Here is a 14119-nt window from a genome sequence, read left to right on the forward strand (position 1 = left end):
TTTTTTTTTTGCTATGGGAGTTTTACATATTTTCCTTGTTTTCGATGACCTTGACAATTGTTTCAAAAGCTGGTCTGGTATTTTGTAGAATGTTCCTCAGTTGGAACTTGCATTTATTTTCTATTAGATTGGAATAAGGGTTTTTGTAAGGAAGAGATCAAGGTCAATTCTCATTGCTTCTTATCAAGGGTAGCTAATAGCCACATGACTCATCACAGCTGATGTTAACCTTGGTCAACTGGTTGAGGTAGTGTTAGGTTTCTTCCTTGTAAAGTTACTTTTTACCCTTTTTCAGTCTGTAGTCTTTGTTTTTTTTTTTTTTTTTTTTTTTTTTTGAGAGAGAGTCTCACTCTGTCACCCAGGCTGGAGTACAGTGGTGCCATCTTGGCTCACTGCTGCAAGCTCTGTCTCCTGGGTTCACGGCATTCTCCTGCCTCAGCCTCCCAAGTAGCTGGGACTACAGGCACCTGCCACCATGCCTGGCTAAGTTTTTTGTATTTTTAGTAGAGATGGGGTTTCACCATGTTAGCCAGGATGGTCTCGATCTCCTGACCTCGTGATCCACCCGCCTCGGCCTCCCAAAGTGCTGGGATTACAGGCGTGAGCCACCACACCTGGACTTCAGTCTATAGTCTTTGAAAGGAAGTCACCATGCACAGCACAGATTTAAGGAGTGAGAAATTATATTCTCCCTCCTTGAGAGTGAAGCATCTGGTGAAGTATACACATAAATTATTTACAATTCTCCTGCATGGGGGATTTGCCTTTTCCAGCCTCCCATTATGTTTTTTTAATTTGTTTGTTTGTTTGAGACAGAGTCTTGTTCTGTTGCCCAGGCTGGAGTGCAGTGGTGCAATCTTGCTCACTGCAACCTCTGCCTCCCGAGTTCAAGCAATTTTCCTGCCTCAGCCTCTGGAGTAGCTGGGACTACAGGCACGTGCCATCATGCCTGGCTAATTTTTTGTATTTTTAGTAGAGACGGGGTTTTGCCATGTTGGCTAGGCTGGTCTTGAACTCCTGGCCTCAACTGATCTGTCCACCTCAGCCTCCCAAAGTGCTGGGATTACAGGCGTGAGCCACTACGCCCAGCCCCATAATGTATTTACTTAGTCATTTATTTATATCAATATGGACTCAGGCTATTTTACAATTTGAGTGATAATCCAATACCACTTTACTTATTTGTTGCTCAAATTATTTTAACTTTGGGCCAGATACAGAAGCTCATGTCTGTACTCTCAGCACTTTGGGAGGCTGAGGTGGGAGGATTGCTTGAACCCAGGAGTTCAAAACCAATCTGGTCAACAGAGCAAGGCTCTTGTCTCTACAAAAAACTGAAAAATTAGTGAGGTGTGGTGGCATGTGCTTGTAGTCCCAGCTACTCAAGAGGCTGAGGCAGAAGTATTACTTGAACCCAGGAGTTTGAGTCTGCAGTGAACTGTGATCACACCACTGCACTTCAGCCTGGGTGACAAAATGAGAACTGATCTCTTAAAAAATAAAAAATTTCAACTTTGGCCATAGGGAGCTCTCTCAGTTAACTCTTATGTCCCTTTGATATGCCCATCAATGTGTGTGCGTGTGCACCTGCATGTGTGTATGTGTTTGTGAATTGGAGTACTTTCTTACTTTTGGACGCTACAATGTTTTCTCATCTCTTCTAATATATTTCTCATTTTGTATATTTCTTGTCCCAGCCTTACAGTCAGCCATTTATCCAAGGAACTCTGGTTCCCTTTATTGGAGAATAAAATTGGTACTATTAAAAAGAAACCAAGATCTAGGCACCAGGTGTGCTCATCCCTTCCAGGGTGACATTTCTTTTAGGTCCTCTTAGCTAACAAAGCAAAAAATATATGTGTGTATACTAACCTGTGTATGTACACAAATATATAAATATTGCCCCATATGTATTTACAGTGAGCTAAAAATTAATTCATACTGTGATGGTTAAGACTGAGTGTCAACTTGACTGGATTTTAGGATGCAAAGTATTGTTCCTGGGTGTGTCTGTGAGGGTGTTGCCAAAGGAGATTAACAGTTGAGTCAATGGACTGGGAGAGACAGACCTACCCTCAATCTGAGTGGACACCGTCTAATCAGCTGCAAGCATAAAAGCAAGCATGGGAAGAGCAGACTTGCTGAGTCTTCCAGTCTCCATCTTTCTCCTGTGCTGCATGCTTCCTGCCCTCGAACAACAGACTCCAAGTTCTTCAGCGTTTGGACTCCTGGACTTACACCAGTGGTTTGCCAGGGGCTCCTGGGCCTTCAGCCACAGACTGAAGGCTGCACTATTGGCTTCCCTACTTTTGAGATTTTGGGACTCCGACTGGCTTCCTTGCTTCTCAGCTTGCAGACGGCCTATTGTAGGACTTTACTTTGTGATTGTGTGAGTCAATTCTTAATAAACTCCCCTTAATATATTCATCTATCCTGTTAGTTATGTCCTGTTAAAGAACCCTAATACACATACTGATGTTTAGAACTCATTTATTACCACATGAATCATTCTGGTTTTCTGTTACCTGTCTATAACCTCCCACTCCAACTGTGAGAAACCTGGCTCCCACAGTTGCCATTCCTTTACTTAATTGTTCACTTTCACTACACATGTATTATGGCTTCTGAATTGTTAATATGTACCTCATGGGAAACACCTTCAACTCAAATACAATGCTATGTACAATTCCTTTGTATTGGTTTTGTGAATGATGACACTGAAACTCTAGCTGAGGAGATTTCTAAGCAAAGTGTTGAAAGTACAGCCTGCTTTCTCCTTACTGCTTATAGTAAAATGTGAGAAGAGAGAGATAGATTGATGGAATTAGTAAGCAAAAAGTAACCAAAACTTGAAGATTTGGAAAATCCTAAGCCTATTCATATTGCAAAACAAGAGAAAGAATATTCAGGAGAGCACACCAAGGTTATGTCTGGATAATCACCTAATAAAGGGATTACCCATAATTTTAATCAGCCATCTCAGCAGAAGCCAGGAAGAAATGAGCTTACACCAGCAAAGTCACTGGAGTTTGAACCGAAGGGTATAGAGATAGGACAAAATGAAGAAAGGTTTTCCAACTTCTGGGATTTAAAACATGAGACAGTAAAGCCACCCAGTGATGATCATGCCTTATCTTTCATGAAAAGGGAAGAATGACCATGAAGGCTATTTAAAGATCATCAGAGTTGCCACTTCCACCACAGGCCCATGGGTAAAGCTATTTCCTCCTTGGTTTCAGAGGATGAACTCACCCCCTTGATTTCAGTGGGCCAGGATGCCCCTGTGAAGAGCTGAGAGGGTGAGGCCACTGCCTAGGGCCCTGGGGTGAAGGTGCCACCACAGTAGGCTTGGAAAACAGAGCATAAAGCCAAAAAGATTATTCTCGAGGCTTAACGTTGAATGGAATTTGTCTTGCTGGGTTTTGGACTTGCTTTAAAACCTGTCACCGCTTTATTCTTTCCTATTTTTTCCTTTTTGAAAGGGAAATACCTATCCTATGATTGTCTCACCTTTGTATTTTGGAGGCACATAACTTGTCTAGTTTCACAGGCTCACAGCTGGAGAGAAATTTTGCCTCAGGACAAAGCATCAGTCTCATTAAGTCTCATCGTGCCTGATTTAGAGGAGACTTTAGTCTTGGAATGGATGATGGAATAGGTTAAGAGTTTCAGGGCTGTTGGGATGGAAGAAGTATATTTGGCATGTGAAAAGGACATGAATTTTGCAGGAGCCAGAGGGCAGAATTTTATGGACTGAATTATGTCATCCCTAAACTTATATGTTAAAGTCCTAACCCCCAAGGTCACTGTATTTGAAGATAGGGCCTTTAGGAAACCAATTAAGGTTAAAGGACGTCACAAGGGTGAATCCCTAATCCAATAAGACTGATGTTTTTGTAAGAAAATAAAGAGAGATAAATAAAAAATAAAAAAAAGGGAGATCTCTTTCTCCAAATCCTACCAGAGGAGAAAGGGCCATGTGAGAACACATGGAGAGGCAGCAGTCTGCAAGCCAGTGGGAGAGTCTTCATCAAAAGCTGAATTTGCTGGCACCTTGATCATGGACTTCCAGCTTCCAGAACTGGAAAACATGTATTTTGTTTGTTTGTTTGTTTAAGCCACCTAGTCTGTGGTATTTGATTATGGGAGCCCTAGCAGATGGATACACTCTTCATGAGGTAGAAACTACTAATTTATAACAAAAAAAATAAGAGTTGGGGTAAAACACTATCTTAGGCATAGCCACTTTCCAAAGCACATATGATTTGAAAATAAAAACAATATATGTGGAGGAAGTGGATGTAATAGCTACTTTAAAGCCTTTTAAAGGTTGATGTTTTAGGATAGCCTAAGTCATACTGATATCTACTTTAAACATACTAAATGGGTTTATGTGCAATATATTCCCTTAAAATAGGATTTACTATTAAGTGGTAGTTTGGTAAAATATTTCTATAAAAGAACTGATTTAATTAATTCCAATTTAATTATTGCCTTTGAACTATGCAGATTAAATTATATATATATAGGCACGTGCACATATTTGTATGTGTGGTATGTGCATGTGTGTTAGACATGTGTGTATTAAATGAGTCTTCTGCACATTGAGTTCAGTTTGATAAAGTGTTTCATTTTTTATCCTATTTCATTGCTTAAAACGTAAAAATTGTATAACATTAAATTATAGGATAGCTGTGTGACATCCAAATTAGGTGGAAGATTCTAACAACTGAATCACCAGTGTTTTGTCATCTGAAAAAACTGAGCATTGTTTTAGATTATTCCAGTACCAGAGTGTTGTCCATCGAGTGGCTCTGCAAAGGCACCCAGCAGCAGTGAGGGTGAGCAGAAGAAAACTGCAGACACTGGCAAATACCATGGTCCAGTGAGGAGTGAGTGAATAAATCTATTCTTTTTCCTTATACTTTTGATTTGCTCTGGGTGCCTCCAACTGACCAAACTCATCTGCAACCAGAGTGTAAGGAAGGAAGCCCATAGAGAAGATCCTCCTGGAGCATATTGTGGTACAGAAGAGGGTGGAAAATGGATCCGAATTGACAAAGGGAAAATCATTTAATGGTTGTGGGCACTTTGTAGAACATTTGGAAAATGCCAGAAGTCACACAGAGGAAAAACCGTTAAGGGTGGTTCTAAAAGGGCAAAGAAGCTATCTATACATTTTTAGGTAGATTTTTAAAAATCATAAACATAAACCCTGGTTTTTGTAAAAAGGATTCCTCAGAGCTACTATTTTGCCTATATTTTAAATCTATGGCCTTGACTACTAAAGAGAGGGTTCACATAATTATGTCCATGGATGAAGGTGTGAGAGTCTGCTCAGCATGGCTCAGAAGTTGACAATTAGCAGTAAATCAAAGGTTTTGGACAGTCTAATGTTAACATCATCATTAAATTGAACAAGAAAATTACACTGATCAAATAAAAAAAAGAATACTTAAAACATTAAATCTTTGGGCTTTCCTGCAAATTATTACCTCAGAAGGCTATTTTTCAACTAATTGCCAGTACTCAAATGATTTTACTACTGTGTTATAATTCAGGATCTAGATTTAAAGTATTAAAGTAGCAGCTTATTTAAAAGAAACTGTGCTGTTTGTCCCATTTTCTTCATTTTGATCTTAGACTCTAAGTTTGAAATATCTTAGAACCTTTAGGAGGATACTCTTCAAAAAGTAACTCTGACAACACTTCTTTGGAAGCAAATGGGTACTGGGCTTGGTGTATTCAAATGACGTTTCCCATAGGTCTTTAAAAACCAAGAGTCTGATTCTTCTATCATCATTGTTACTTGACATTGTTCGTTGAGTTCTGGACATGATGATAAGCTATAAAACAGAAATAAAGCATAATTAGTAGAAGAAGGAGACACAAATTATCACTTTCACTGTAATATTCAGATTTTCATCAATGAGGAAATTGAGCAACAAAGATATCAAGCAACTAAGACAAGTTTAATAGCCCATTAGCATAAAAGCTGGGTTAATAGAGCTAAGATCAAGGAAAAGTGGTAGCAATTGACTTTTTGTGTGTGGTTTACAATAAGTAGAGATGATTGTCAGAAGAAATAATTTAAAGTCAAATCTTAAGGCATTTGTTCACTTACTTTTCATTTAATGAATATTCTTTTTAGTGCCAACTTGTGTAAGAAGAACCTGTGCTATGCTCTGGGGAGGTCAAGCTGGTCTAGATAGATGCTGTCTTTCCCTGGTCTTATGTTGTCTTTGTTCTAGCAGGGTTGCAGATTTTTAACCCAAATCCATTACTGTTGTGATAAATACTTCCAGAAAGTAACACAGGGTGCTAAAATAATACAGGTGAGAAGGACTTGACTCTCTTCAATGAATCAGAGTTAAAAAAAAAAAAAAACCCAGCATAGGACCTTAATCATTTGGGGAATATATGTTTTTTTTTGTTTTTGTATTTTTGCTTTATCCCTTTAAAATACAGAAAATGATACAATATTGCATTTAGAAAAATTGGTGGTAAAGGCAAAAAATTATGCTATAAATTTTTAAACTATCATTGGGCAAAAAAAGTAAGAGAAAGTGTAATTAAAAGTAGAGTGCAGATTTATGTGTTTTTTTACGCAAATGGAGGTTTGCTTTTTTCATTATCAGCCCTCTGAGGAATCATCTCTTGAGCCACGAGCCTTATAGAGCGTGTAGGCTGCAGGGCTCAAGTCACATGCTGAATCTTGACATTCCTGCACAAGCCATCAATGACAACACATTGACCTCAGATGACACTTCACAGCACACAGCACAAATCCCTCTTCAGCTTCTACTGGTGATGCTCCTTGGGCAAGAGGTGGACTTGTTTGAGAAATCAGATAAGATGGATGGCAGTTTGCTCAGATTCCAACTGCTTGAACACTGTCACTGAGGTCAGATGTTTGGATGCTTGAGCAAAGACATACTGGCCAAATCTGAAAAAAATCCAGAATAAATCTGTATGTCATGACACCAAAGCATCCCTTACTTTCCTTATACAGAAAAATAAATGCTACTAATGTGGATATCAAGGTTTAGGTACCTGCGAGCATTAGTTAAAACACATTGCAAAATTCATAGTGAATATTATCATGCTGTGAAGCAGCCATTCAGCAAAGTGCTAGTGGCATGCTATTTTTAAAAGACATTTTAATAGCAGCTTTCTCCCAGAAAAAAACCTTCACGTAAATGAGAGAAAAATGTGAGTTTCAGAAAATAGAATATTTATGCACTCAATTTGTTTAAATGGCTGAATAGCTAAATTTGACAGAACTGGCCGATTGGTTTATGTAAGTCACTAGATGGCAGTACCAACTAGTTAGTATGATATAGTTTAGATTTGCTTCTTAAATACCAAAGCAAGAACAGATAATAGGAAAAAAGTTAATTCAGCACACTCTAGCATGGAGAGACAGTCTTTTACTTGGCATGGAGAGACAGTCTTCTAGAGGTAATACTGTCACAGTGACAAGGTCTCAGAGTTATGGAAGTGCTAGAAATTTCCAAATTTGCTCCAACGTTAAGTCTTGGCAGACAGAATAATATTTATTATTTCTTTGATGTGTTGTGGTTTATAACGGGCTTTCAGAAACATTTTTCTCATTTGATTTTCACATCAGCCTTGGGATTTAGGTAAGGTTGGTAAGAATATCTTCATTTTACCAAAAGGTTACATTCTGTTTAGGTCAGTGGTTCTAAGACACTGGGAGCTGTTTGGGAAATAGAGGCAATTTTGGTTGTCATAGTGAAACAGTAGGGGTGGGTAGATTCCCAGCACATAGTGGGTGGGTGCCAGGTATGAAAGACATCTTCAATATGCAGGAAAATCCCACACAATAAGCTTAACCCACGTTGAACATGACTTTTGAAGTCTTCCCAGACATTCATGTTTATAGTCTGTAAGGGTTTTATAATTACCCAACTTTAGAACCGAACTCAATTTTATATGGAAAGTAGTTATGCAATTTTAATATATGATAACTTTTCCAGGAATTTGACTGCCATGTAAATCTAAAGTAACACGCACTTTGTCTTTTTCTAAATTCTTGCAGATTTTTTGTTCATTCTGAAAATCACATCGCCAGATCCAACACCTTTTTATCCCAATCACCAGTACAAGCCACCCGTATCAGTGTACACTGTGGCTGACCGATCCATAGTGATGCTTTGAGGTAAGCATCTGACCACTTAATATGTCTTCTAGTGTTCATATCAAAATAGATATTATTTTACTATGAATTGCCTAATTTAATATTTTTATTTAGATTACAATTAGGATATGACATTGATTTATTGAAATAATGACTTTAAGAAGGCTATACTCTATGAATTCTAGGATAATGAAGGGAGACCTTAGAAAATATTTGTTCTAAAAGGGGATTGAATGTTTAGTGAAGTAAATAACTGTCGAGTTAGAATATACATTTAGGTAACATCATGTACTAATTGTATATTACACCTTCAGGCTATTTCATTGTGGTATCAGAGCACCTAGAGCTCCTGGTAACATATAAAGAATTCACGTACACTCTGTGCCTTCCTTGACAGAAATCCCACTGCTGTGTCTTTTCCTTCTCCATTGCATTTAGAATGTGATTTGCATTTCATTATAGAAGGAACTGCTTAAATATTTTTGTGACCTAGAAAAATAACTTAGTTAGTTTTCCAAAATGCAGCCCTCTTTTAATTGAGAAATATCTATCAAAAGAAGCTGGCTGTATCTATTTTCTTCTGAACCAGATCAAGTCAGTTCAACAGTTACTGAATGCCTACAGCGAGCCAGGTGCATTTTGGGTGCTAGTGATGAGAAGGTGAATGGGAGGCCTTTGAGCAGCCCATGATCCTGCCAAGAAAAGAGGCAGGAAAAAATCAGACAGTAACAAAATGTGATAAGGGCAATATTAACAGTGAGCAAAATGCTAGGGAACACAGAGGCCAGAGTGATTAATTCTGCCTAGGGAGGAAGCTTCACTGAACTGCCAACATAAAAGAGATGGAAATAAAAATCAATGCTCTGATTTTTCTGAAGGCCTTTTATTCTGCCTTCAAGAAATATAGGGAAAGGCAATGCTCAGAAAACAAATACTATAAGACTTAAAAAAAGACCTCTAGTGACTTATGGAGTGAGAATCACCCAGTTTGGACGCTGCCTCTAGGTAATTAAGTACACATTGGAAACTATATTAACTGTAGTGGGACCTGTGACTTGAAATCCTTAGTGGTTTCTCAGAGAGCGGATGTCTGCATCACATTCATGATATTGAACCGAATACTACCTGTGCCATTGGGTCCAGTTCTATAAGCTAGATTAGTGGTATGCTGGTGCATATTTAATAACTGGATCCCCTATAAACATAATCCTTGATTAGTAGCATTTGCTAATTTCTGTGGTGTAGATAATCTTCTCATGGTCGATTTCAAGTTACAAACATGATGTTATCAAATGGAGGGTTAGGAAGTGTTGTTCACAGTTGGCTCTCATAAATAAGTACAAACAGGTCTGAGCTGGTAGGAGCTCTAGAATCCAATACTTATACTCATGACATAAAAGAAAACAATCAGCAATTCTGATTCTGACTTTGTCTCTAACAAACTGTGAATAAACTTTTATCATTAGCAATTTGTGTTAAGGCAGTCATTTAACTCTGACATTTTAGTTTGCTTAGAATTTATTGAGCACTTTACACTAGGGGGTATGTCAAATACTTTACCCACATTCTTTTGTATCCCCCTTACAGCTCTGGTAGATGTGATTATGCCCATTTTACAGATGACAAACTGAAGTTCAGTCTTTAAGTGATTTTTCTTGATGCAGTAATGAGTATGAAAACTATGAAGCTCTGTAGAACTTGAAGAACTACTATATTGTCAGAATAAATTAAAATGCTCATGCTTCATTCCATCTTTTTGAGCTGTTTGAAGATTTTGTTTTAGGAAAGTTATTTGCTGCATATCACTCTTCAATTCTATATCCATTTACATTTTCTCTGTTAGTTCTACCATTTCATAGAAATCCAGGAAATGTTGTCTCAAAACCAGTTTGTTGGAATATGATTGCCTTTATTGGCAATATTCTGAAAAGTTTAATTTTTATGAAAAAAATTAACTTGTTTTTACCTAGGAAACTATCCCCAGAAGCTGTTCAACTGGGACTGGCATTTTCCAGTCCCTTGCCCCAGTGCTTATCCCTGAGGTGACACAATCAGGGCCTGATCAAATATCTTACACAAAGATTGAGACACTCCATAGGTGATAGATTAGGGAAAAGTAATTTTTCTCTGCTCCAAGAAAGCAGGGATTTGTCCCCCTCCTTGGAAAAGTCATAGGCCCAAAACCTAACTCCAATGTTTGACATGTAAATAAAATCTCTCCAGGTGTCATGTCAGATAATCCCCAGTGCCTCTGCTTTTGCAGTCTATAAAAGTCTCCAAGTTCCTAGTGCCTCATTCCTCCTTCAAATGTAAATACTAGAGAGACGGCAGGCAGTCATCCTGACACTCTGGGGTTTAACTTAGGAACCTAGTCTGGGCTGTATCTGAGCAGTTAACTGGACAAATGGTGACAGCTCTAATTCTCATGGTCTGTGAGAAACCCCAGCAAGGCAGGTTTCCTTACAGGAATCCTGAGAAATCCATTGTAGTCTCATCCCCTCACAGTGCTGCCGGTGAATACTGGCTTCCAGCAACAGTCTCAGACATTGCTACTGTGCTTTATTGATGACAACTACACATACAAGTTTTAGCTAGGGTGTTCAGGAAAGTGTGAAGAGTAATTTGTTTCCTGCTCATGTTACATTCACTGTTCAGAATTTGATAGGATCAATGCAAGGGCATGTCTCCTTTAGAACTCTTTAGGTAGTAATCACAACATCCCCAGAATGTGATCTCTCTAAATGTTGGTTGCAAGCTTCCCCTCTTCACACAACCTACCAGTGGGGAAAATAGGCAAAGGCTCTGTGGGTTGAAAAAGAAGAATTATCCTATTCATATAAGAAGTGTTTATATTATTGTTGGTATGGCTTAAGGCTGACTGAGGAGAGTACAATGGCACCACACTGATTATGAGAAAGACAGAACATAAATCAGAAGGGAGGACATAGATGTGGCCACATCTGGAGGACTGCCTGATGCATGGCATGAAGCCTTCAGAGAGGATGGGGTGACTGCTCTGGGTGCCAGCGATAAGGGGGTTCACAGAGTAAAGGACATCTACTGCTACAACCATGGTTCTTGGGAGCTATAAACTAGGAAGTGAACCTATAGTCATCAGCAGCTGAAATATGGAAGGGTGAGAAACAATCTATGGACCCACATATGTGGCTCAAGCCTGAAGAGCATGGTGGACTTTCGGTAGCTTAGAGCCCTGAAGTTGTCCTTTGTGTGCTGTTAGTGAGAATCACTCAATATGGGCACATTAGCACCAAACTGGCAGCCCAGTACTATGAACAAATTCTCATGCTGGTCAGTGTGAGTAATCGTTTCACCAGGTCACTCTTCTAAAACTGGGCCAAGAGACTGCCAGATAACTCCATAGTGGACCTCATGCATCACAGTGGCAGTGGTGGTTGTGGTGGTGGGAGAGTTGGACAATACCCTGAAAGGGAAAAAGGGGACCAGTAACAAGGGTCCTGGTCTGAATCAGGACACCTTATCCCAAAGGTACTTCTGGCCCTGGGTGACCCCAGGAGTTGGAAAGGGACTCTCTCAAGGTGAGGAAGTTTCTTTTTATCCTAAATTATTGAGTGTTTTCATTATAAAGGGATGTTGAATTTTGTCAGATGCTTTTTCTGCATCAATTGAGATAAACGTGGTTTTTGTCCTTTATTCTACTGAAATGGTATATTACACTAATTGATTTTTGGATATTAAAAAAACGTTTCACACCTGAGATAAATATCACTTGTTCACGATTTATAATCTTTTCCATATGTTTCTGAATTTAGTTTGTGTGGTAGTCCATTCTCACATTGCTATAAAGAAATACCTGAGACTGGGTAATTTATAAAGAAAAGAGGTTTAATTGTCTCACAGTTCTGCAGACTGTACAGGAAGCATAGCGGCTTCTGGGGAGGCCTCAGGAAACTTTCCATCATGGTGAAAGGTGAAGAGGAAGCAGGCACATTTTACATGGCAGGAGCAAGAGAAAGAAAGAGAGGGGGGGAGGTGATACACACTTTTAAATGACCAGATCTCATGATAACTCATTCTCACCACACCACCACCTAGGGGGATGATGTTAAACCATGAGAAACAACCCCCACTATCTAATCACCTTCCATCAGGCTCCTCCTCCATCACTGGGGATTACAATTTGACATGAGATTTGGGTGGGGACACAGATACAAACCATGTCAGTTTGCTAGTATTTTGTTGAGGATTTTGCATCTACATTCATAAAAGATACCGATTTATATTTTTTGTGATGCATTTTGTATTGATATAAGGCAAATGTTAGCATTATAGAATGGGTGGGATGTGTTACCTCCTCTTTTGTTGTTTGGAAGAGTTTGTGAAGAATTCTTATATAATTGGTAGAATTCAACAATGAAGCCATCTGGATCTGGGCTTCTCTTTGTGCAAAGTTTTATTTTTTTCATTACTAATTCAATCTCTTTACTTGCTATAGTTTGATCAATTTTTAAAAATTTCTTCTTTAGATATTTTTGGTAATTGGTATTTTTCTCAGAATTTATCTATTTAATCTAGATTATCTAATCTGATGGCTTACAATAGTTCATAGTATCTTTGTTTACAATTTTTTTTTCTTTTAAATTTCTGTAAGGTATAATTTTCATTCCTGATTTTGGTAATTTGAATCTTTTTTTTCTTTTTTCAGTCAAACTAGTTAAAAGTTTGTTAATTTTGTTGCTCTTTTCAAAGAAACAACTTTCAGTTTGTTGTTTTTTATTATTTTTCTAATTTATGTTTAATTAATTTCCACTCCAATCTCTACTCTTTCTTTTCTTTTACTTGCACTAAGTATAGTTCACTGTTTTTTTTCCAGTCTATTAAAGTGGAATGTTAGTATATTGACTTGAAATTTTTCTTCTTTTTGAACATAGACATTTACAGCTACAAATTTCTCTCTAAGCATTGTTTAAACTGCATCACATAACTTTTGTCATATTGTATATTAATTTGTATTCATCTCAAATTATTTTCTGATTTTCCTTGGGGTTTCTTCTTTTACCTATTGGTTATTTAGGAGTGTGTTGATTAATTTCCACATATCTGTGAATTCTCAAAATTTTTTGTACTATTAATTTCTAAAGTCATTCAATTGCTGTCAGAGAACATATTTGTATATTTTCAATCATTTTAAATTTATTAGGGCTTGTTTTGGGGCCTAACATATAGTCTATTCTGGAGAATATTCCATGTGCACTTGAGACGAACAATATTTTCCTGTTGTTGGGTGGAGTGTTCTATAGATGTCTTTTAGGTCTAGTTGGTTTACAGTATTTCCAAATATTTTATTTTCTTATTGATCTTCTGCCTGGTTGTTCTATTCATTATTGAAAGTGGGCATTGAAGTGTCCAACTACCATTCTTTAAATGCCCATTTCTTTTTTCAATTCTGGTTTTGCTTCATGCATTTTGGTGCTCTGTTGTTAGTTGTATGCATGTTTATAATTCTTTTATCTTCCTGATGTATTGAACTCCTTGCATCATAAAATGTCTCTCATCTCACAGCTGTGGGTGTAGAAAAAATAAGACTCTCTTTATCTATAGTATCAATTCTTTTTGTTGTTGTTTAAAAACCTATTTTGTCAGATATTAGAATAAACCTTCCAGCCTTATTTGGTTGTTGGTTGAATTTTTGACATCCTTTCATTTTCAACCTATTTGTATCTTTGAATCAAAAATATTTCTCTTATAGACAGCATATAGTTGGATCTTGCTTTTTTATCTACCCTGATAATTTCAGACTTTGCTTTGCATTATTTAACGCAGTCACACTTAATGTTATTATTGATATAGTTGGGCCCACAGAAGTTGGGAGACAGTAAACAAGGGAAGTTTCTCTGGTAATAAGCACAGATGATTTACAATTGGAATGGCCTCCCCAAATGTCTTGCTAACAGATAAGACCAGGAGAGTCAGATCATT

At 37.8% G+C, this 14119-nt stretch overlaps 1 long non-coding RNA gene across 5 annotated transcripts in view; it reads left to right on the forward strand.

The window, feature by feature from the left end:
- LOC105377329 (uncharacterized) overlaps positions 1–14119 on the forward strand; it is a 94057-nt gene that overhangs the window by 28369 nt on the left and 51569 nt on the right. For 4 of the 5 annotated variants that reach the window (XR_007058469.1, XR_007058468.1, XR_007058467.1 and 1 more), the window contains exon 2: positions 8063–8182. This is a non-coding gene — a long non-coding RNA (uncharacterized LOC105377329). Of the gene's footprint in view, positions 1–8062; positions 8183–9748; positions 9913–14119 lie in introns of those variants that run through there. The other variant, XR_007058470.1, reaches the window with a different exon arrangement.

The sequence above is a fragment of the Homo sapiens genome, chromosome 4 (genome assembly GCF_000001405.40).
Source record: "Homo sapiens chromosome 4, GRCh38.p14 Primary Assembly".
In the NCBI taxonomy this organism is placed as follows: Eukaryota; Metazoa; Chordata; class Mammalia; order Primates; family Hominidae; genus Homo; species Homo sapiens.